Genomic DNA, 22,688 nt, shown 5'->3' on the forward strand with positions numbered 1-22,688 from the left:
TGATTCCTCAGGGATCTAGAACTAGAAATACCATTTGACCCAGCCATCCCATTACTGGGTATATACCCAAAGGATTATAAATCATGCTGCTACAAAGACACATGCATATGTATGTTTATTGTGGCACTATTCACAATAGCAAAGACTTGGAACCAACCCAAATGTCCATCAGTGATAGACTGGATTAAGAAAATGTGGCACATATACACCATGGAATACTATGCAGCCATAAAAAAGGATGAGTTCATGTCTTTTGTAGGGACATGGATGAAGCTGGAAACCATCATTCTCAGCAAACTATCACAAGGACAAAAAGCCAAACACCGCATGTTCTCACTCATAGGTGGGAATTGAACAATGAGAACACATGGACGCAGGAAGGGGAACATCACACTCTGGGGACTGTTGTGGGGTGGGGGGAGGGGGAGGGATAGCATTAGGAGATATATGTAATGTTAAATGATGAGTTAATGAGTGCAGCACACTAACGTGGCACATGTATACATATGTAACAAACCTTCATGTTGTGCACATGTACCCTAAAACTTAAAAGTATAATAAAAATAAAAAATAAAAAAAAAAGTTATTTCTCATTTGTCTCAAGCTCATATGTCACAGACTATTTGTGTTTTAAGTCATTAACATTTCAAGATGCGTACAGAAATATTTGTAGAGGAAATGAAACAATGTCTCCATTGTCCGAAAAAATGAGGACATGTATATTATACCTCAATTAAGGCAATAATGAGGAATATTGAGGAAGTGTATGGAGGTGTAGGTGAAGCAAAATTGGTAATGTATTGATCATTAGTAACCTGATTAAATGGTAAATTAGGTTCATTAAACTATTACAATTTTCTCTACCTTAGTAATTGTTTGAAAATTCTATAATAGAAAAAAACCTCTAAGAGCATAATAAAACTAAATACCCACTGATATGCCCCAAAGTGCTGAGTTTACAGTAAATACTAGATCAGTATTTAATAATCCATCTTTTTTAGATGCGTTTCACTCTTGTTGCCCAGGCTGGAGTGCAATGGCAAGATTTTTTCTCACTGCAACCTCTGCCTCCCAGTTTCAAGCTATTCTCCTGCTTCAGCCTCCCAAGTAGCTGGGATTACAGACTTGCACCATCACGCCCAGCTAATTTTTTTTTTTTTTGTATTTTTAGTAGAGAAAGGGTTTAACCATGTTGGCCAGGCTAGTCTTGAACTCCTCACCTCAGGTGATCTGCTGGCCTCATCCTCCCAAATTTCTGGGATTACAAGCATGAGCCACCGTGCCTTTGATTACAACTGTCATAAGATCTTGTAATCATTGAGAATAATTCATGTGCTTTATCAAAAACACCTTATTATTCCATTAAACTTACTGAGTAGAACAAAAATGATCATAAAGATGTTTCAAAGAATATGTTCCAATTTAACTGGCTAAAAAAATTTGTGTATATATTCGTTATTACCAAATGTGGGATTGGCATCAAAATGTGGATGATCAAAAATAATTTCTTAAACAGATTATTCTGTGTTGTGTGTAATGATAGAAGAATTCCTTCATTTATTTTTCCCGAATTAAGATGAGCAACCAAGTCTGAGATCTTTAGCCCAGGAAGGAGTAGGTGAGGCATAGCCTGCTTTCTTGGCTGTCGAATGCTTCTCAAAAGGATGCTGAAGAACTTGCTGGTAAGATGCACCTGGTAAGCAATGTGGGCAGATAAATATAGCTTATAATTACTCAGGACCCTGATGACTTTCTACATTTCTAAATGGCAAGGTCAATTTTAAATGTTTAAAAATATTTATACTTTGGGAAGCAGAGGCAGGCAGATCACTGGAGGTCAGGAGTTGGAGACCAGCCTGACCAACATTGCGAAACCTTGTCTTTATTAAAAACACAAAAATTAGCCGGGCATGGCGGCATCTGCCTGTACTCCCAGCTACTTGGGAGTTTGATGCAGGAGAATGGCTTGAAACTGAATGTGGAGGATGCAGCGAGCCGAGATCACCACACTATACTCCAGCCTGGGCAACAAAGCTAGATTGTCTCAAATCGAACAAACAACAATAAAAGTTCATACATTTTCTTTTATGAAAAATCTCAACTCTAGTTGTTACTTAGAATTGCTATTATTCCACAGAAATTCCTTAAGTACTATTTTTGTACTAAACTAAGAGAAGGAATATGTACACTGTCATGGAGAGTACAAATATATCCCCATCATTTTAAGATCCCTTTACAGCATGAAGAGAATTCTAATTTTCTAAAATATTTAGCAAAAAAAAGAATGTCAGTGATTTGCAATCTTTCCAAATGAAGGGCATGAATTCCAGCTCATGCTGCTTCCTCACTGGGAATTTGGCTGTATAGTAATGAACTGAGGCATCAACGACACACTTCTTTCAACAATAAATCTGAGAACTGAAATGTTTATTTTCCGTGATTTTGCTATTTCTTGGGGCTTATGAAGGAAACGCTTAGTCAGAATAGAGAGGGTGGATGACAATACCATGAAATTAAAGGTGAGAGGTGAAGTAGAACATTTTATTGTATCACTAGTATTTTAAATATAAAGATTGCATCTTCATGAATACGGGGCTTTTGGAGCCCATCTTAGCACTTCTCCCCAGGTACGTTCAATACATATCATTTTATTGAAGTTGCTTGTATACCTATCAGTCTCACCTACTAGGTAAACGGCTCCTCTAGTTGATTCTTACATTTCTCTACTGCATCTTGCCTTGAGTCGATTCTAAAGACATGTTTGATGAAAGAAGTTAAATACCAGTCACACGTGAAAAGGGCTGCATCTAGAAAGCTGCTCTATCAACGAAATCATTAAAAAATATGATGTACTCAGTGTAGGAATTTTAGGAAACTTCCCTATTATACTTGCTAGTTTGAATGAATATGTGTGTTATTTCCAAAAACATATAAATTGAATATATAATTATTAAGTGTGTATGTATATATACATATATATATACATGATATATTTATGTTAACATCACAGAGTAGACTTAACTCATGGCAAAGTTTTTTTCAAGCACCTGCAGAAATCTGTCTTCTTTCCAGTTTCGAAAACCTTCACAAGCCATGGTGGAAAGAGGATCCTTTGGATCCCAGAGAGTGCATGAAGCACGTTGGGTTACAGTAATTTTAAAATAGCTCATAGTCATAATTCACAATGAGGAAAGCTGAAAGTTGCTGGAAGCTATCAATGAATGAAAGGTGGGGCAGGGCAGCTGTGGGGGCGGGGCCTTGTGAGCCAGTGCCTGGACTCCCCCATCACAAATGGAAGGGCGGCACGTGGAGGGAACTCAAGGCCTGATTGGTTCCTCCTAAGCAGGAGGCGATCTAGTTGGCAGGGCAACCGGCCTTCAGTTAGTGCCTTCAGTGGGTGCCTTCCGTTGGTGGCATTTGGTTGCCTTTCCCGGGGAGAGGTGGCAGGTGCTCAGCTCTGCAGGCGTGGGGGCAAGGAAGGACCAAGCAGCCCGAGAAGAGCAGAGGTGCCCCATGGGGACCACGATGACTTGTCACATGTGCACCAAAGCCAGCCCAAGGCAGGGCCTGTGCAGGGCTTCTGCGGAGCCCTCCTGAGGCTCTAACATCTATGAGTGGGCAGCCAGCATAGGCGCAGGCCCCTGCAGAGAGGAACAGAGACGCCAGGAACACGCTGTCGTCCAATGCCAGCCCCAAGCGGGGCCTGCTCTGGGTGCAGTGTTGGGAGCAGTCCTGCAGCTCTGAGATCCATTAGTTGGAGGTGGGAGAAGTGCCAGATTCCACTGATTTGGAACCTGCCCAGTCTGATTCCGGAGCCGTGACTTACAGCATATTGGCTACCAGAAGACACCCAAAGGTAGGGAGGAGACAGTTCGCTTTCCTATCCCCGGCCCCAAGCAGGAGGACTTGCTCTGACTCAACTCCCCACCCCTTCCTCTTTCCCTGTTGCATCCAGCCGATTACTTTCCCTTGCCCTGTCCAAATGCCCACCTCTGGGCCCTCTTCTTTTCCTAGGTTGGCCAAAAACAAAGTTTTCAAAATACAAAATGGATGCTAAGATTTCATTACGGTAGACGAAATGTCTGACAGCTCTTGTATTTAAACGTAAGTAGCCACACTGGGACTCCCAATTTCATATCTTGAGTTCTAGAACAGAGCTCTCTCTCCTAAAGTAATGGCTGAGGGTCAGATGTACTCTTCTTGATTCTAATAATAAGAAATGATGTTTTGTAGAGACAGGGTCTCACTGTGTTGCCCAGGCTGGTCTCAAACCCCGGGCCTCAAGTGATTCACCCACGTTGGCCTCCCACTTCGTTGGGATGACAGGCAAGAACCACCACACCAGGCCTTGATAGGTGCTCCTGCTTTGTGTGTTTTGGCTGGTCTTCCTGCGCAGCTGTCAGTAAGATGCTCCTGCAGCATAGTTCCAAATCTTTTTGCAATAATTCAGTGGATGCTGTCATTTTTTACATGGAATAGCCACTTTGTCGCAGAGAAGCTGGACAATTCACACTTGGTAACATACAGCTTAGCAAATTTCATTTCTTGATCAACAAGTTAAAAGGTGATGCTTGTGGTCTAAATACGCAGATTCCTAATCATCCCCAAGAAAAAGGGAACCATTGCAAGGCAACCTGGGAGGGAGTTTAGGATTGTTCTGAGGCAGTGCCGGCCATTGAAATTCACACACAAGGGGATAGAAAAGACAATCCACATGTCCTAATCCCTCCAAGTTCTGGTTATAACTTGGTCCTCCTTAAACTGCACTATTTTTGGCCTCAGAGAAAACTGAATTTGAATACCAGTTCCATCACTCTTTATGATGTGATGGTGAATGTGTTTTTAACTCATCTGAGCCTCAGTTTGCTCATCTATAGAAGATGTGACTGTTATAAGGCTTCCATAAGGTTAGTGTGTAAAACCATGGCAAAATGCTTGTAATTTAAAAGAGAGGTTTGTTATGAGGCTTCTATAAGGCAAGTGTGTAAAAATCTGGACACAATGTCTACAATTTTGTAAATGTTCAATATGTGGAGAAGGAGGATTACCTTTCATTTAATATTTAGGGCAATTTTATAAAATTGGAGATCTCATATTTTTGAGATAATCAAACCAAGGATTAGAAAGACTAAATAAAGCACAATAGTCACAAAGCAGTTCACAATACATTTACTGGGTAATTTCTAGTTAAAAGTAGCAATGATTGTCACACTGAAAATCTCATATTTTGTAGTGGTTTCCTCTTACATAAGCTCTCGCTTTGTTGAAAGGATAGATTCTAAGCTGCTCTATCAAAGTGATCATTAGAAAAATGTGACATACTTAGTGTGTAAATTATAGAAAATTTCTTGTTAGTCTTGTTAATTTGATAGAACATGTGTGTTGTTTTCAAAAATGTAAATCAAATGTATGTGCATTGAATATATATATGAATATGTGAAATATGACTTGACATTATAGGGTAGGCTTAGCTCATGGCAATGTTTTTTTTGTGAAAGTACCTGCAGAAATCTCTCTTATTTCTAGTTTGTTAATGTTTCAGAGATTATGGGGGAAAGGGGATTCTATGAATCCCTGACACTGCATGAAGCAGTTTTGGTTTCAGTAATTTTAGTATCATTCATTGTAAGGTGATGATCCCTAGGAACTTCTTCACAGTGAGAAACCTGAAAGTTCCTAGCAGCCAGCAATGAATGCAAGCGGGGGCAGGGCCACTGGCAGTGAGGGGCCTTGTGAGCCATGTGCCTGTGTTCTCAAGTTCCAGGGTTCTGGGGATGCATGCAGGGGATTCTGGACCTGATTGTTTCCTCTGAACCAGGATGCATTCTGGTTGGCAGGGCAACTGGCCTTCACTTGGTGGCCTTCAGTGGGTGCCCTCATTGGTTGCCTTCAGTTAGTGCCCTCAGTTGGCACCCTCAGTTGTTTCTCTTCAGTCTGTGGTCCGCAGTTGGTGGTCTTCAGTTGTTGGGCAGTGGTGGAAGGAGGATGAATCCATTTGTGCTCTCTCCTCCCCCAGACACAGCTCTCAGGCTTGTTGCATCCGGACCCTTCTAAAATAAACCAGACAGGTTGGCAAGTTTTTTTTTTAGCAGACAAGTCAGCTCAGGGTACAGGGGTGATGCAAGGTGCGGGCTGCTAGTGCAGTGCCGCCCCATGGCCCAGGGCTGCCCGTGCCAGCCATACGTTTGCCGGGAAGAGGTGATAGGTGTTGAGCTCTGTAGACTTGGGGGCAAGCGAAGGCCCAAGCAGCCCGAGAAGAGCAGAGGTGCCCCATGGGGACCACACTGAACTGTCACATGTGCACCAAAGCCAGCCCCAGTCAGGGCCGGCACAAGGGTTCTGCAGAGCCAGCCTGAGGTTCTGATGTCTACGAGTATGCAGACAGCGAAGGTGCAGGCCGCGATATATAGGAGCAGAGGCACCCTGAACACGCTGTCCCCCAATGCCAGCTACAAGTGGATCCAGCTAAGAGTGCGGAGGGAGAAGCCGTCCTGCAGCTCTGAGATCCACGAAGTAGAGGTGGTAGTAGCACCGGACCCCACTGCTTTGGAGCCTGCCCAATCGAATTTGGGAGCCAGCGAGGTTCCTGACTGCAGCACATTGGCCACCAGAAGACACACAAAGGTAGGGAGGCTTCGGATACCACTTAAGTTTAGGAACTCCTCTGGTTGCTGCTGGCCCAAAGTTCCCCCAGAGGCATTCAAGGCCTGGGGCTCCTGCCTCCTGCCCCTAGTTTGCTATCCTAAGCCCAGGCCTCAAGCAGGAGGACTGGCTCTGCCTCACCTCCCCACCCCTTCTTTTTTCCCTGCTGTGTGCAGCCAGTTTCTTTCCTCCTACCTACCCCAATGCCCAGTTCTGGGCACTCCACTTCTTCCCCTAGGCTGTCTGAAAACCACATTTTTAGGATACAAAATGTATGCTATAGATTTCATTGCTGTAGAGGAAATGTCTGACAGCTGTTGTATTTAAACTTAAGTAGCCACACTGGGACTCATAATTTCATATCTTGAGTTCTAGACCAGAGCCCTCTCTCCTAAAGCAATGTCAGAGGGTCAGAGGTAATCTTCTTGATTCTAATAATAATAAATGATTTTTTGTACAGACAGGGTTTCACTGTGTTGCCCAGGCTTGTCTCAAACTCCTGGCCTCAACTGATCCACCCATCTTGGCCTCCCACTTTGCTGGCATGATAAGCAGGAACTACCACACCTGGCCTTTGGAGGTGCTCTAGCTTTGTGTGTTTTGGCTAATCTTCCTGCACAGCTGTCAGTAAGATGCTCCTGCAGTATGGTTCCAAACCTTTCTACACAATCCTGTGATATTTTTACATGGAAGAGCCTTTTGTTTACTGCAGAGAAGCTAGACAATTCACAGTTAGTAACCTAAGGCCTAGAAAATTTTGTTTCTTGATCAAAACAACTGTTTATAGATGCTTGTGGTCCAAAGATGCAGATTCCTAATCATAAAAAAGAAGAAGTGATGTCCACTGCAGGCAACCAGGGAGGGAGTTTAGGATTGTTCTGAGGCCGTGAAAGCCATTGAAATTCACCCATAAGAAGGCAGAGCAAGGGAATCCACATGTCTTGATCCCTCCATGTGGAGGGTATAATTGGGTCTTCATGAAGGTGCACCACCTTTGGGGTCAGAGAGAATTGGATTTGAATCCCAGTTCCAACACTCACTACAAAGTGATGGTGAATGAGTTTTTAAATCCTCTGAGCCTCAGTTTGCTCATCTGTAAAAGAAGTGATTCTTATGAGGCTTGTATTAGTTTAGTGTGTAAAAATCTGGGAATAATGCCTGTAATTTAAAAGACAGGTTGTTATGAGGCTTCAATAAGGTAAGTGTGTAAAAATCTGGACACAATGCCTTTAATTTTGTAATTGTACAATATATGAAGGTGGAGGATTATTTTTCTCTCCTTTTATTTTTAGAACAAGTTTATACAATTGGCATTATTCCTATTTTTAAGATAATCAAAGGACCAACAAGTTGAAATAAATCACCATACTCACAAAGCAGTTCACAATATATTTACTGGGTAATTGCTACTTAAAAGTAGCAATGATGATCACATTGAAAATCTTGTATTACGTGGTGGTTTTCTCTTCCACGAGCCTCTTCATTTGTGGAAACCATAGAGTCTAAGTTGCTCTATAAAAGTGTTCATTAGAAAAATGTGATGCACTTAGTGTATAAATTTTAGAAAATTTCCACTGTTAGTCTTGTTAATTTGATTGAATATGTGCGTTTTGGATTATGAATGTGAATATGTATTGATATATGAAATAAGACTTGACATCATACAGTAATCTCAGCTCATGGCAATGTTTTCTTCTGAAAACACCTGCTGAAATCTGTATTATTTCTAGTTTCCAAAAAAAATCAGTCACAACGGGGCCAAGGGGATGTTTGAATGTCAGATACTGCATGAGGCACATTAGTGTACAGTAATTTGCGCATAATTCATATTCATAATTCACAGTGAGGAAATCTGAAAGTTGCTACCAGCTACTAATAAATGGAAGGTGGGGCGGGCTGCTGTGGGGATGGGGCCGCTGTGGGGGCGGGGCTGCCGTGGGGGCGGGGTCGCTGTGGGGGCGGGGCCTTGTGAGCCAGTGCTTGGACTTCCACGTCATAAACGGAAGGGCGGTGCGTGGAGGGAACTCAAGGCCTGATTGGTTCCTCCTAAGCAGGATGCGATCTGGTTGGCAGGGCAACCGGCCTTCAGTTAGTGCCTTCAGTGGGTGCTTTCAGTTGGTGGCATTCGGTTGCCTTTCCTGAGGAGAGGTGGCAGGTGCTCAGCTCTGCAGGTGTCGGGGCAAGGAAGGACCAAGCGACCTGAGAAGAGCAGAGGTGCCCCATGGGGACCACGCTGACTTGTCGCATGTGCACCAAGGCCAGCCCCACTCAGGGCCCTCACAGGGCTTCTGCAGAGCCGTCCTGAGGCTCTGACATCTATGAGTCGGCGGCCAGCAGAGGCGCAGACCCCAGCACAGAGGAGCAGAGGCACCCGGAACAAGCTGTCCCTTAATGCCACCCCAAGCGGGGCCAGCTCAGGATGCGGTGTTTGGAGCAGTCCTGCAGCTCTGCGATCCACGAGGTGGTGGTGGGAGTAGCGCCAGAGTCCACTGCTTTGGAGCCTGCCCCGTCTGATTCAGGAGTCATGACGACCAGAAGACGCCAAAAGGTAGGGAGACTACAGATACCGCTTGGCCTTAGGAGCTCCTTTGGCAGTTGCTCACCCATGGTTCCCCCCAGAGGCACCCACAGCCTAGGGCTCCTCCCTCCTGCCTCTAGTTTGCTTTCCTAGGCCCAGGCCCCAAGCAGGAGGACTTGCTCTGATTCCACTCCCCATCCATTGTTCTTTCCCTGTTGCATCCAGCTGGTTACTTTCCCTTGCCCTGTCCAAATGCCCACTTCTGGGCCCTCTTCTTCTTTTCTTAGGCTGGTCAAAACTAAGACTTCAGATTACAAAATGTATGCTACAGATTTCATTACGGTAGAGGAAATATGCGACAGCTCTTGTATTTAAACTTAAGTAGCCACATTGGGACTCCCAATTTCATATTTTTCGTTGTAGAGCAGAGCTCTCTCTCCTAAAGTAATGGCTGAGGGTTAGAGGTACTCTTCTTGATTCTAATAATAAAAAATGATTTCTCATAGAGACAGGGTCTCACTGTGTTGCCCAGGCTGGTCTCAAACCCCTGGCCTCAAGTGATTCACTCACGTTGGCCTCCCGCTTTGTTGGGATGACAGGCAAGAACCACCACACCTGGCCTTGGGAGCTGCTCCTGCTTTGTGTGTTTTGCCTGGTCTTCCTGCACAGCTGTCAGTAAGATGCTCCTGCAGCATAGTTCCAAATCTTTCTGCACAAATTTAGTGGATGATGTGATTTTTTACATGGAATAGCCCCTTTATTTATTGCAGAGAAGCTGGACAATTCACACTTAGTAACATATGGCCTAGCAAATTTCATTTCGTGATCACCACACCTGTTAAAAGGTGATGCTTGTGGTCTAAATATGCAGATTCCTCATCATCCTCAAGGAAAAGGGAACCACTGCAAGAAAACCTGGGAGGGAGTTTAGGATTGTCCTGAGGCAGTGCAAGCCACTGAAATTCACACACAAGGGGTTAGAAAAGAGAATCCACATGTTCTCATCTCTCCATGTTCTGGGTATAATTTGGTCCTCCTTAAATTGCACCATTTTTGGCGTTAGAGAAAACTGGATTTGAATACCACTTCCATCACTCTTTATGATGTGATGGTGAATGTGTTTTTAACTCATCTGAGCCTCAGTTTGCTCATCTATAGAAGATGTGATTGTTGTAAGGCTTCCATAAGGTAAGTGTGTAAAAACCATGGCAAAATGCTTGTAATTTAAAAGAGAGGGTTATTATGAGGCTTCTATAAGGTAAGTGTGTAAAAGTCTGGACAAAATGTCTACTATTTTGTAAGTGTTCAATATGTGGATAAAGTGGATTATCTTTCTCTCCTTTTTAGACCACAAATTTTTAGACCAAGTTTATAAAATTAGGGATACTCCTATTTCTTAGACAATCAAACCAATGATCAGAAAGACTAGATAAATCACCATAGTCACAAAGCAGTTCACAATGCATTTACTGGGTAATTTCTAGTTAACAGTAGCAATGATGATCACATTGAAAATCTTGTATTTTGTGGTGGTTTTCTGTTACGTAAGCCTCTTGCTTTGTTGAAACCATAGATTCTAAGCTGCTTTGTCAAAGTGATCATTAGAAAAATGTGATGTAGTGTGTAAATGTTAGAAAATTTCTCCTGTTAGTCTTGCTAATTTGATTGAACATGTGTGTCATTTTCAAAAATGTAAATCAAATATATGTGAATGGGATATATATGTATACATATGAAATATAACTTGAATTAGAGAGTAGGCTTAGCTCATGGCAATGTTTTTTCTGAAAGCACCTGCAGAAATCTCTCTTATTTCTAGTTTGTTGATGTTTCAGAGATTATGGAGAAATGGCGGTTCTATGAATCTCAGACACTGCATGAGGCAGATTTGGTTTCAGTAATTTTAGCATCATTCATTGTAAGGTGATGATCCCTAGGAACTTCATCACAGTGAGAAACCTGAAAGGTCCTAGCAGCCAGCATGAATGAAAGGTGGGGCGGGGCTGCTGGCAGGGCAGGGCCTTGTGAGCCATATGCCTGTGCTCTCAAGTTCCAGGATTGTGGGGATGCATGCAGGGGATTCTGGACCTGATTGTTTCCTCTGAACCAGGATGTGGTCTGGTTGGCAGGGCAACTGGCCTTCACTTGGTGGCCTTCAGTGGATGCCCACATTGGTTGCCTTCGGTTAGTGCACTCAGTTGGTACCCTCAGTTGTTTCTCTTCAGTTGGTGGTCTTCAATTGTTGGGCAGTGGCAGAAGGAGGATGAATCCGTTTGTGCTCTCTCCTCCCCCAGTCACAGCTCTCAGGCTTGTTGCCCCCAGGCCCTCCTAAAATAAACCAGAGATGTTGGCAGGTTTTTCTTAGCAGACTAATCAGCTCAGGATATGGGGGTGAGGCAGGGTGTAGGGTGCAGGTTGCTAGCACAGTGCCGCCCCATGGCCCAGGGCTGCCTGTGCCAGACATGCCTTTGCAAGGAAGAGGCAATAGTTGTTGAGCTCTGCAGACTTGGGGGCAAGCGAAGGTCCAAGCTGCCTGAGAAGAGCAGGGGTGCCGCATGGGGACCACACTGAACTGTCACAAGTGCACCAAAGTCAGCCCCAGTCAGGGCTGGCAGAAGGGTTCTGCAGAGCCAGCCTGTGGCTCTGATGTCTACCAGTGTGCAGACAGAGAAGGCGCAGGCTGTGATATACAGGAGCAGAGGAGCCCTGAACACGCTGTCCCCCAATACCAGCCACAAGCGGGGCTATCTCAGGGTGCGGTGGGTGAAGCCGTCCTGCAGCTCTGCGATCCACGAGGTGGAGGTGGCAGTACTACCAGACTCCACTGCTTTGGAGCCTGCCCAGTCGAATTTGGGATCCAGTGACAGACCTGACAGCAGTACATTGGCAACCAGAAGATACCCCAGGTAGGGTGGCAACGGATACTGCTTAACTTGAGAAGAGCCTCAGTTTTCTCATCTATATAAGATGTGATTGCTATGAAGCTTCCATAAGGTAAGTGTGTAAAAACCATGGCAAAATGCTTGTAACTTAAAACAGAGTGTTTCTATGAGGCTTCTATAAGGTGAGTGTGCAAAAATCTGGACACAATACCTATAATTGTTTAAGTGTTCAGTATGTGGAGAAGGAGGATTATTTTTTCTCATCTAATTTTTAGAGCGAGTTCATAAGATTGGTGATACTCATATATCTTAGACAATCAAACCAATAATCAGAAAGAATAAATAGATCACCAGAGTCACAAAGCAGTTCACAATGCATTCACTGGGTAATTTTTAGTTGAAAGTAGAAATGATGATCACATTGAAAATTTTGTATTATGTTGTGGTTTTCTCTTACATAATCCTCTTGGTGTCTTGGTGTTATGAAACCACAGATTCTAAATTGCTCTATCAAAGTGATCATTAGAAAAATCTGATGTACTTAGTGTTTAAATGTTAGAAAATTTCTTGTTAGTCTTCTCAATTTGATTGAACATGTGTGTTATTTTCAAAAATGTAAATGGGACATATGTGGATTTGTTATATATGTGTATATATGAAATATTACTTGATATTATAGAGTAGGCTTAGCTCATGGCAAAGTTTTTTTCTGAAAGCACCTGCAGAAATCTCTCTTATTTCTAGTTTGTTAATATTTCAGAGATTATGGGGGAAAGGGGGTTTTATGAATCCCAGACATTGCGTGAAGCAGATTTGGTTTCAGTAATTTTAGCATCATTCATTGTAAGGTGATGATCCCTAGGAATTTCTTCACAGTGAGAAACCTGAAGGTTCCTAGCATGCAGCAATGAATGAAAGGTGGGGCGGGGCCACTGGCATGGTGGGGCCTTGTGAGCCATGTGTCTGTGCTCTCAAGTTCCAAGTCTGTAGGGATGCATGCAGGGGATTCTGGACCTGATTGTTTACTCTGAACCAGGATGCGGTCTGGTTGGCAGGGCAACTGGCCTTCACTTGGTGGCCTTCAGTGGGTGCCCTCATTGGTTGCCTTCGGTTAGTGCCCTCAGTTGGTACCCTCAGTTGTTTCTCTTCAGGTGGTGGTCCTCAGTTGGTGGTCTTCAGTTGTTGGGCAGTGGTGGAAGGAGGATGAATCTGTGCTCTCTCCTGCCCCAGTCACAGCTCTCAGGCTTGTTGCATCCAGGCCTTTCTAAAATAAACTGGACAGGTTGGCAGGATTTTTTAGCAGACAAGTCAGCTCAGAGTATGGGGGTGATATGGGGTGCATGCTGCTAGCGCAGTGCCACCCCGTGGCCCAGGACTGCTTGTGCTAGCAATGCTTTTGCCAGCAAGAGACGATAGGTGTTGAGCTCTGCACACTTGGGGGCAACCAAAGGCCCAAGCTGCCCAAGAAGAGCAGGAGTGCCCCATGGGGACCACATTGAACTGTCGCATGTGCACCAAAGCCAGCCCCAGTCAGGGCCGGCACAAGGGTTGTGCAGAGCCAGCCTGTGGCTCTGACGTCTATGAGTGTGCAGACAGCGCAGACGCAGCCCGCAATATACAGGAGCAGAGTTGCCCTGAACACGCTGTCCCACAATGCCAACCACAAATGGGGCCAGCTAAGGGTGTGGTGGGAGAAGCCATCCTGCAGCTCTGAGATCCACAAAGTGGAGATAGCAGTAGCACCAACTCCACTGCTTTGGAGGCTGCCCAGTCGAATTTGGGAGCCAGCGAGGGACCTGACAGCAGCACATTGGACACCAGAAGACACCCAAAGGTAGGGAGGTGGCAGATACTGCTTAAGTTCAGGAGCTCCTCTGGCCATTGCTGACCCAAAATTCCCCCAGAGGCATCCACAGCCTGGGGCTCCTTCCTCCTGCCTGGAGTTTGCTTTCCTATGCCCAGGCCCCAAGCAGGAGGACTGGCTCTGCCTCGAGTCCTCACCCCTTCTTCTTTCCCTGCTGTGTCCAGCTGGTTTCTTACTTTCCTCCTACCTACCCCAATGCTCAGTTCTGTTTCCTCTTCTTCTTCCCCCAGGCTGGCTGAAAACTAAGTTTCAAAATACAAAATGCGTGCTACAGATTTCATTGCTGTAGACGAAATATCTGACAGCTTTTCTATTTAAACTCTGGTTGTTCTCTTCATTTCTTTAAACATTAGAATAATTAAGCCTCATAATAGATGTGCCTTTGTAACTTGAAAGTATGACCCTCAATTTTCACAATTAAAAAAATTTAATTTTTCTTTTCATAAATTTTTGGCACAGGTAGTATTTAGTTATTGAGTAACTCCTTTAGTGGAGATTTGTGAGATTTTGTTGCACCCATCACCCAAGCAGTACACATGGAATCCAATTTGTAGTCTCTTATCTTTCTCCCCCTTCCCGCGGTTTTCCCCTGAGTATCATTCTTTTTTTTTGAGACTGAGTCTTATTCTGTCACCCAGGCTGGAATGCTACGTCGCGATGTCAGCTCGCTGCAACCCTTGCTTCCTGAGTTCATGTGATCCTCCTGCTTCAGCCTCCTGAGTAGCTGGGATTAGAGGTGTGGGTCACCACGCCCGACTAAATTTTTTGTATTTTTAGTAGTGACTGGCTTGCACCAAATTGGCCAGTCTGTTCTCGAACTCCTGACCTCAAGTGATCTGCCTGTCTTGGCCTCCCCTCAGGCAGGGATTACAGGAATCAGCCACCAGAACCCAGCCAAACTTTCCCCTTTTTTGTTGTTTTTTTTTTCTAATTTCCTGAAGTCATTCTTTGAGTTGTCATGTAGATTAATGGGTTTCTCAAACTACTAGAAAACTAGTTGAAGAAATAAACAGGCATTTTGTGAATATTAAACAGGACAGTGGTGCTGAGCATGGCTAAAGCATCTCTGCATTCACAGGGAGAGGAGTGGAAGACCTTCTGGTGTGGGCTGGGCAGCAATTCACTTGAAGGAGAAACAGCCCGGGTGTGGAGAGGCGGCCATCCTTGGCGGGATCCTTTCTAAGGAGCCGAGAAATCAACGTAGAGCTTCCTCTATCTGATTCTCTAACAACTGCAGACCTTCCATGAGTCAAGCTTTGTGTCAAAAGGACAAATTAAAAGGCAAGAAAATAAAATTATAATACCAGGACTTTTGGGGAAAACAAACAAACAAAAAAGCACATCTAATTCCAGATTATTTCAGGGACCCGCACATTTTGCCCAAATCTCTGTCTATTGTTTCTGTGTCCAATGTACTCTTTGTTGTTGTTGTTTTTTATCTGTTTTTGTTGTTGTTGTTGTTGTTGTTGAGACTAAGTCTCGCCCTGTCACCAGGTTGGAGAGCAGTGGCATGATCTTGGCTCACTGCAACCTCCACCTGCCGGGTTCAAGCGATATTCCTGCCTCAGCCTCCCGAGTAGCTGGGACTACAGGCATGTGCCACCATGCCCAGCTAATTTCTGTATTTTTAGTAGAGACAGGGTTTCACCATGTTGGCCAGGATGGTCTCAATCTCTTGGCCTCGTAATCTGCCCACCTCGGCCTCCCGATGTGCGGGGATTACAGGCGTGAGCCACCACCCCCAGCCCAATATATTCTTTGTTAAGGACAATGTTCAAAAGTTGTTCCTGTACTCAGCACGGTATGAAACTAGATAAATACATTTTTGGGAAATCAACAATGGAGAATTTTTTTGAAAGAAAATTGATTTTCAAGGTTTATTCTTCAATTATCAAAAGCTTTTCAAAAGTAAAACATACTATTCCTCTCCACAATCCCAGTTAATCCAGACCCTTCTTGGTGGGCTTTATCAAATACCCTACTCACCTTCCTGAATCTTTTGCTGAATCTCACATAAAGTTTTGTCACAGAACCTCAGCTTTTTCATAAGGTTTTGTGTACCACGTCATGCCTGTAAATTGTTTTCTCTGCTTTGTTTTTATTTTTATTTTTTTGTAAGAAGTAGCTAGGAAGTATCTTTCTTTGCTTTATAGATGTAAACTGCTTTGTATTTTCAGGTTAACTTTCTAGAATGTTGAAAATTCCTTGTTCACTCATCTTTTCTCACTTCCTCCCTCTCAGGACCTATAAATGGCACCACCCAGCCCAATGGACAGATGCCCCAGGCTGCAGATTCTGTCAGTGCTGTTCTCGAAGAGGCCCAGGCACATGCTGAAACATGGAAGGTAAAACCAGCAAGCAGCTGGCATACATTCCACCCAGCCGTCCCCCAGGAGAATTGCTTGAGCTCCGGAGTTCCAGACCAGCCTGGGCAACAGAACAAGGGCTCATCTCTACTAGAAATCAAAAAATTAGCCAGGTATGGTGGCGTGCACCTGTGGTCCTAGCTACTTGGCTGGCTGAGGTGTTTGAATTGCTTGAGCCCAGGATTTCAAGGCTGCAGTGAGCTGTGATCACACCACTGCACTCCAGCCTATGTGACAGATAAATACCTTGTCATAAAAAAAGAAAAAAAGATAAAAATGGATTGCATTTTCTATTTTCCCCATTAATGTTCTACGTATATCCCCAGGGTGATGGAGGAGAAAATACATTGTAAAATAATAGCCAATAGGTATGACATCCTCCATAACATTTTTTCAACCGAATAGATCAATGAGGATTCACTTAAATCTATCTTAAAATCATAGCTAATAATCATGATTTAGTTGCTAATCTAATTCAAAACCTCTCAGTTGACTGTATAAATTCTGTTGAATATTTCTCATGTGTGATTCAAAACAACCTTAAATAACTGTGACAATAGCATATCACCCAGCTAGGACAGGCAGGGTGCTTCACTTTAGCAGTTTTTCACTTCTTTCACCCCTTCATGTTGTCCATCAGTCAGTCATGAAAACAACTAAATCTTGGTATTTATTGAACTTCTTATAATTTTGACAACCACTGCAGGCCTGTAAAAGTTGTATTTCTTTAATGTTCTCATTATCTTCTCAAGCCTGCGCTTCTCACGCAATGTACTTTCAGCTGTTATTATTTTCATTATTTCCATAATGCCAATCGAAGGAAAGCATTTAAAAATGCTGAAAGAAATAAAAGAATCCCAGAATAGAAATCACTTAACTATATGTGAACATCAATACCCAAGCTGCCTGTTCAGAAATTTTTTAAAAAGGAAAAAGTACATTGCCAGTTAATTAGCTTATCATGCTAAGTAAATAAACTAAATAAAATAGAAACTAAGTCAGAAGGCACTTCGTTAGAAAAAAAATCTTCCAAATTTAATCTTCAGTGGTAACAGGCTATTAAGCAGAGGAAGAAATAAACTGGAGCCCTGATGAAATGTAAATTGGAATGATAATTATCACTAAAACAGAGGGATTCAATCCAGCTGCCTGGGGATGTTTCATTATATAAATACAAATTATTATTATCTATGCCAGTATTGGCAGAGGAAGGGCTATGTCTCTATTAGACTTTAGCCAAATTTGGCATTCTGGTTTCTACCAGTAGCACGCTGGTGATTTTTCTTTTCAGAACTCATATAAGTATCTCATTTGATCTCATCACGATCTGAGACACAGGTCATAATAGGGACTACAGGGCTCATTTTATACCCGGTGAACCAGCCAACTTTCATGCAGTTGAGAAAAAGTAAACTGTCCAGGTGAGGCGGCTCACACCTGTAATTCCAGCATTTTGGGAGGCCGAGGTGGGCAGATCACTTGAGCCCAGGAGTTGGAGACCAGCCTGGGCAACATGGCAAAAAACCATCCCTACAAAAAATACAAAAATTAGCTGGGCATGGTGGCACATGCTTGTCATCCCAGCCACTTGGGAGGCTGAGGCATGAGGATCACTGAGCCCTAGAGGCAGAGGTTGCAGTGAGTCGAGCTTGCACCACTGCACTCCAGCGTGGGTGACACAGCGAGATCCCGTCACAAAAAAAAAAAAAAAAAAAAAGACCAGGCGCGGTGGCTCATGCCTGTAATCCCAGCACTTTGGGAGGCAGAGGCAGGGCAGATCATGAGGTCAGGAGCTCAAGACCAGCCTGACCAACATGGTGAAACCCCATCTCCACTAAAAATACAAACTTAGCTGGACGTGGTAGCCAGCACCTGTAGTCCCAGCTACTCGGGAGGCTGAGGCAGGAGAATCGCTTAAACCCGGGAGGCAGAGGTTGCAGAGAGCCAAGATGGCGCTACTGCACTCCAGCCTGGGCGACAGAGCAAAACTCTCTCTCAATAATAATAGTAATAATAATAATAATAATAATAATAATAATAATAAAGGCCAATTAGAGTCATTTCCCTATTCCAGAGCAAAGATGAGCTCATGAACAACCAGGGTTCTCAGTGACTGAGGGACGGGGGCCCCCCAGGCAGCAGACAGAGACCTCACATATCTATGGCATGGTCTTGTCCACTGGGGCTCTTTTGTCAAGAATAAAGAATGCTACTCAGGAGACTGAGGCGGGAGGATCGCTCAGGAGGTCGAGGTTGTGGTGAGCCCAGATCGTGCCATGCACTCAGCCTGGGTGACAGAGTGAGACCCTGTCCCCGTTAATTAATAACAATAAATTAAAATTTCAAAAACTTTAAAATAATAAATGCTGCTGTCGCTTGGTTGCAGGATAAGAAGCCAGCCCTCGGGAACCACCAGGAGCCAGGAGCACCCCCGGCCCCCCAAGGCCCCAAGTCCAGCCTGCCCCACCCCCTCCGGTGCAGAGGTCCTGTGACACCAGTGGCAGCCCCGCCACACCCCCCAAGGCCAAGGGCACAGGCAGCGTGGTCTTCCCCGCCCCGCCCGACTACTTCCTGCCGCCACAGCCACCAATGCCGCCCCTGGAGTACCCAGAGCTCCCGCTGCCGTCCCCGGACTTCATGGAGACCCCCCTGGACTTCGTGCTCCCTCCCCTCGCTGTCGCCAAGAGGCCTCCTATGCCCCACCCCCCCAACAGGCACGAAGCATCAATGTTCACAAGCAGCAAATGAATAAAAGTTAAACGTTCTTCCTACTGCATTTCTATAAGGATTATTGGGTCAGTCGATCTTGAGGTCAACACTATAATTAAAACTAGCTTTCACCATCCCATGCCTTCTTAAGTCTTGGTGACCTTAGATTTTCAGCTCTACCTCTGCGACCTTCAGAATTTTCAGGAAAATAGAGGAAAACGAGAAAACATGACAATCTCTTTCTCTGAGATTCCTGTTGCTTGATTGCTTGGAGCCCTGGACACAGGCTGTTTTGGTTTCGCCTTTTTTTTTTTTTTTTTTTTGAGAGGGAGTCTTGCTCTGTTGCCCAAGCTGGAGTGCAGTGGCGCGATCTCGGCTCACTGCAAGCTCCTTCTCCTGGGTTCACGCCATTCTTCTGCCTCAGCCTCCCAAGTAGCTGAGACTACAGGCGCCCGCCACCACGCCCGGCTAATTTTTTCTATTTTTAGTAGAGACGGGGTTTCACCGTGTTAGCCAGGATGTGGTCTCGATCTCCTGAGCTCGTGATCCGCCCGCCTCGGCCTCCCAAAGTGCTGGGATTACAGGCATGAGCCACCACGACCGGCCTGGTTTTGCTTTTTTAATGCTTGAATAACAGTAATTTTAAAAATAGTTATTCAGATAGTTTTTGAATTCTCTATTATTACAGTGCTGTAAGTACCCTGTAAATAAGAATGTAGGGCCAGGTAAAAGCAATCTTACTGATGTATATTTCAATCTGGAATGTTTTCCCTCAGGGATACATTTAATGCCCAGTTTATCCTAGGCTCTTTTTACCTATATCTCTTCTCTTTCAAATTGGCTTCGGATGGGCTAAAAGGCTATTTTCTTAAAATTAAGGAAGGTAATTAATGGTATGTTTTAATATTTGGGGAAAAGTAAGCTGTAGATCATGCTGTCTCAACCCACGGGCTCCTGTGGCCCAGGACAACTTTGAATGCTGCCCAACAAATATTAAAACATTATAAGCTCTTTGTAGGGCGCGGTGACTCACACTTGTAATCCCAGCACTATTGGGAGGCCAAGGCTGGCAGATCACTTGAGGTCAGGAGTTTGAGACCAGCTTGGCCAACATGGCAAAACCCTATCTGTACTAAAAATACAAAAATTAGCCAGGTGCGGTGACGCATGCCTGTAATCCCAGCAACTCCAGAGGCTGAGGAGGAGAATCCTTTGAACCCAGGAGGTGGAGGCTGCAGTGAGCTGAGATCTTGCTACTGCACTCAATCCTGGACGACAGGGCAAGACTCTCTCTTTAAAAAATTATGAGATCTTTTTGCAATTTTTTTTTTTTTAGCTGATCAGCTATTGCTAGTGTTAGTGCATCATATGTGTGTCCCAGGGAAGCTAAAAGATTGGACACCCCTTCAGGCTAAATGGAAATTTAAAATGAAGCAAATTTAGTTTTAAAACCAAAATATTTACTAACTAAAACTGGCAATGTGTTCTTAATTTTTTTAAGCATATGCTTGAAATAGGATAGAAGGTAAATTTGCTTCACATTAAATTTTATCTCAGGAACAGTAACTCTCCAGTTTTAGTATATCATGTTCTTTTGATGTCAGATACAGTAATAATACGGCTTTTCTTTTTACAAAAATTTTTAAAATTTTGTTTTACTTTAAGTTCCAGGATACATATGCAGAATGTGCAGATTTGTTACATAGGTAAACGTGTGCCATGGTGGCTTGCTGAACCTATCAACCCATCACCTAAATACGAGGCCCAGCATGTGTTAGCTATTTGTCCTGATGCTCTCCCTCCCCTCAATCCCCCACAACAGGCCCCAGTGTATGTTGTTCCCCTCTTTGTGTCCATGTGAAAGACACAGCTTTTCTGATACCTGACTACATAATGGTCTTTATGCAGATCTCTGGGACAATACAGGAAAGGTTCAGCGAAGAGAGCTATGAAAGTTGTCAGAATCAAAATGGAGTCACTCATGTTAAGAAAACGCTGACAAATAGAACCAGGCAAGTCCATGAATAGAGGGTTCTCATGACAATCGTCAACCCTGTGATTTTCACTCAAGTGGAACACAATCTTTGGTGTCTGGCTGTGAGGTCTTTACAAGTACCAGCTATACCTGAGTGGGGTTATTTAGATTGACCCTGAAAATGCAGCAAACTTTATTCCTTTATGAAAATTTTAGTGAGATACTGGAGGTGAGGGGAGCGCAAAAGCTGGGGTGAAATTGGACGTTAGAGAGGAAGTGCAAGGATAATAATATATTACGAACAGTGTATAATTAATAATATAGGGCAGTAATACTACACCACAGCTTATGAAAACTCCATAATTTCTTTTATAATGCTGCCACTGGGGCAAAGACCCATGTAATAGGCCAACTGCAACAAAAACCACAGGGTTTGGAAGAGTTTACAGAAAATATGATTTAACCCGCCACATGATAGAATATGAACTTAGATTTTACAGTAGGTCCTCAAAGAGGAGAATGAACATTTAAGCCACATTTTGTTTGATCATAGGAATCTTGGCTGGTATGATACTGAAATGATCCAAGTCCATGATAATTGAGCCTTTGAAGTGTGCTTGAGACTTATGGCTTGATGTCTGATCCATTTTTACTGGTGGTTTATGTGTGCTTGGGTACAATGTACTATACATGTTCCTTAGAACAAGCTTGTTAAGCATGTTCCACAAATCTTCTGCCTGCAGCCTGTTACCTGGTCTGTTGCATCCATCAATTACTAAGAAGGATGTTTTAAAATCTTCTGAGGGCAGATTTGTCAATATCTTTTCATTGTTCTGGTGAACTGTGCCTTATATATTCTGACATGGTTAATTATTAAGTGTAAACAAAAATTATGTATGTGACTTCCTGGTGAATTGAACCATCTGTCACCATGCAATGTTTTCTGCTTTTTGTCTTGTACTCATGCAGCTGTATCATCTTTTTTCAGGTATTTGCCTGACCAATCTATTCATGCACTTTCAAACTCTCTATGTTCTATGTTTGCCACTTTTAATGACATATGGCGGATTTTGTTGTGTTTATATCTAGTTCAGGAATTATTATCTTTTAACTGCAATTTTATTCTTTTAACATTTTTAATTTTCTTTCTTTCTTTCTTTTTGTTTTTGTTTTTGTTTTTAGAGACGGTGTCTCATTCTGTCACCCAGGCTGGAGTGCAGTGGTGCGATCATAGCTCACTGCAGCCTCAACATTCTGGGCTCAAGCCATCCTCTTGCCTCAGGCTCCCGAGTAGCTGGTACTACAGGCTTATGCCATCTGCCTGGCTAATTCTTCTTTTTTGTAGAGATAGGAGTCTCACCATGTCATCTAGGCTGGTTCCTAACTCCTGGCCTCAAGCAGTCCTTCTGCCCTGGCCTCCCAAAGTGTTGGAATTACAGGTCTGAGCCACCACGAATGGCCTCTTCTTATGACTCTTACTGTGATTATATATTTGTATTTGTTTTTAACATCTTATTTTGCACTTCCTATTACCCTGGATTTTTCTGGGGTTTTTATCTTCCTTTCTTGTCTGCTTCACGTGATTAGGATTTTTCTCTTACTCCCCTTTTTAAGCTTCTTGTTGAAAAGTTATATACTGTTTCTATTCTTTTAATGGCTAGTTATAATGATAATATCTATACTCAATAATGTCCCAAGTTGAACAACTTTAACCTAGGAAACACATGGAGTT

The 22,688-nt window shown here is 43.6% G+C and overlaps 3 long non-coding RNA genes across 4 annotated transcripts; 2 read left to right on the top strand and 1 right to left on the bottom strand.

Moving 5' to 3' along the window:
- Positions 1-1,481: 1,481 nt before the first annotated feature.
- LOC102724202 (uncharacterized) lies at positions 1,482-3,263 on the bottom strand. Its single transcript, XR_428680.5, has 3 exons — positions 3,048-3,263; positions 2,683-2,749; positions 1,482-1,693 (listed from the first exon to the last, which is right to left on the bottom strand). It is a non-coding gene; the product is annotated as an uncharacterized LOC102724202 (long non-coding RNA).
- Positions 3,264-3,412: 149 nt separating this feature from the next.
- LOC105376461 (uncharacterized) lies at positions 3,413-8,552 on the top strand. 2 transcript variants are annotated; one of them, XR_930764.2, is made up of 4 exons: positions 3,413-3,856; positions 4,015-4,104; positions 6,450-6,624; positions 7,103-8,552. It is a non-coding gene; the product is annotated as an uncharacterized LOC105376461 (long non-coding RNA). The 2 variants fall into 2 exon arrangements; XR_930763.2 differs by having other exon boundaries at positions 6,450-8,552.
- A 149-nt stretch (positions 8,553-8,701) lies between these two features.
- On the top strand, positions 8,702-19,048 carry FAM238B (family with sequence similarity 238 member B). Its single transcript, NR_026794.1, has 5 exons — positions 8,702-13,876; positions 14,545-14,642; positions 14,985-15,187; positions 16,148-16,385; positions 18,659-19,048. It is a non-coding gene; the product is annotated as a family with sequence similarity 238 member B (long non-coding RNA).
- Positions 19,049-22,688: the final 3,640 nt, after the last annotated feature.

The sequence above is a fragment of the Homo sapiens genome, chromosome 10 (assembly GCF_000001405.40).
Source record: "Homo sapiens chromosome 10, GRCh38.p14 Primary Assembly".
NCBI classification, from domain to species: domain Eukaryota; kingdom Metazoa; phylum Chordata; class Mammalia; order Primates; family Hominidae; genus Homo; species Homo sapiens.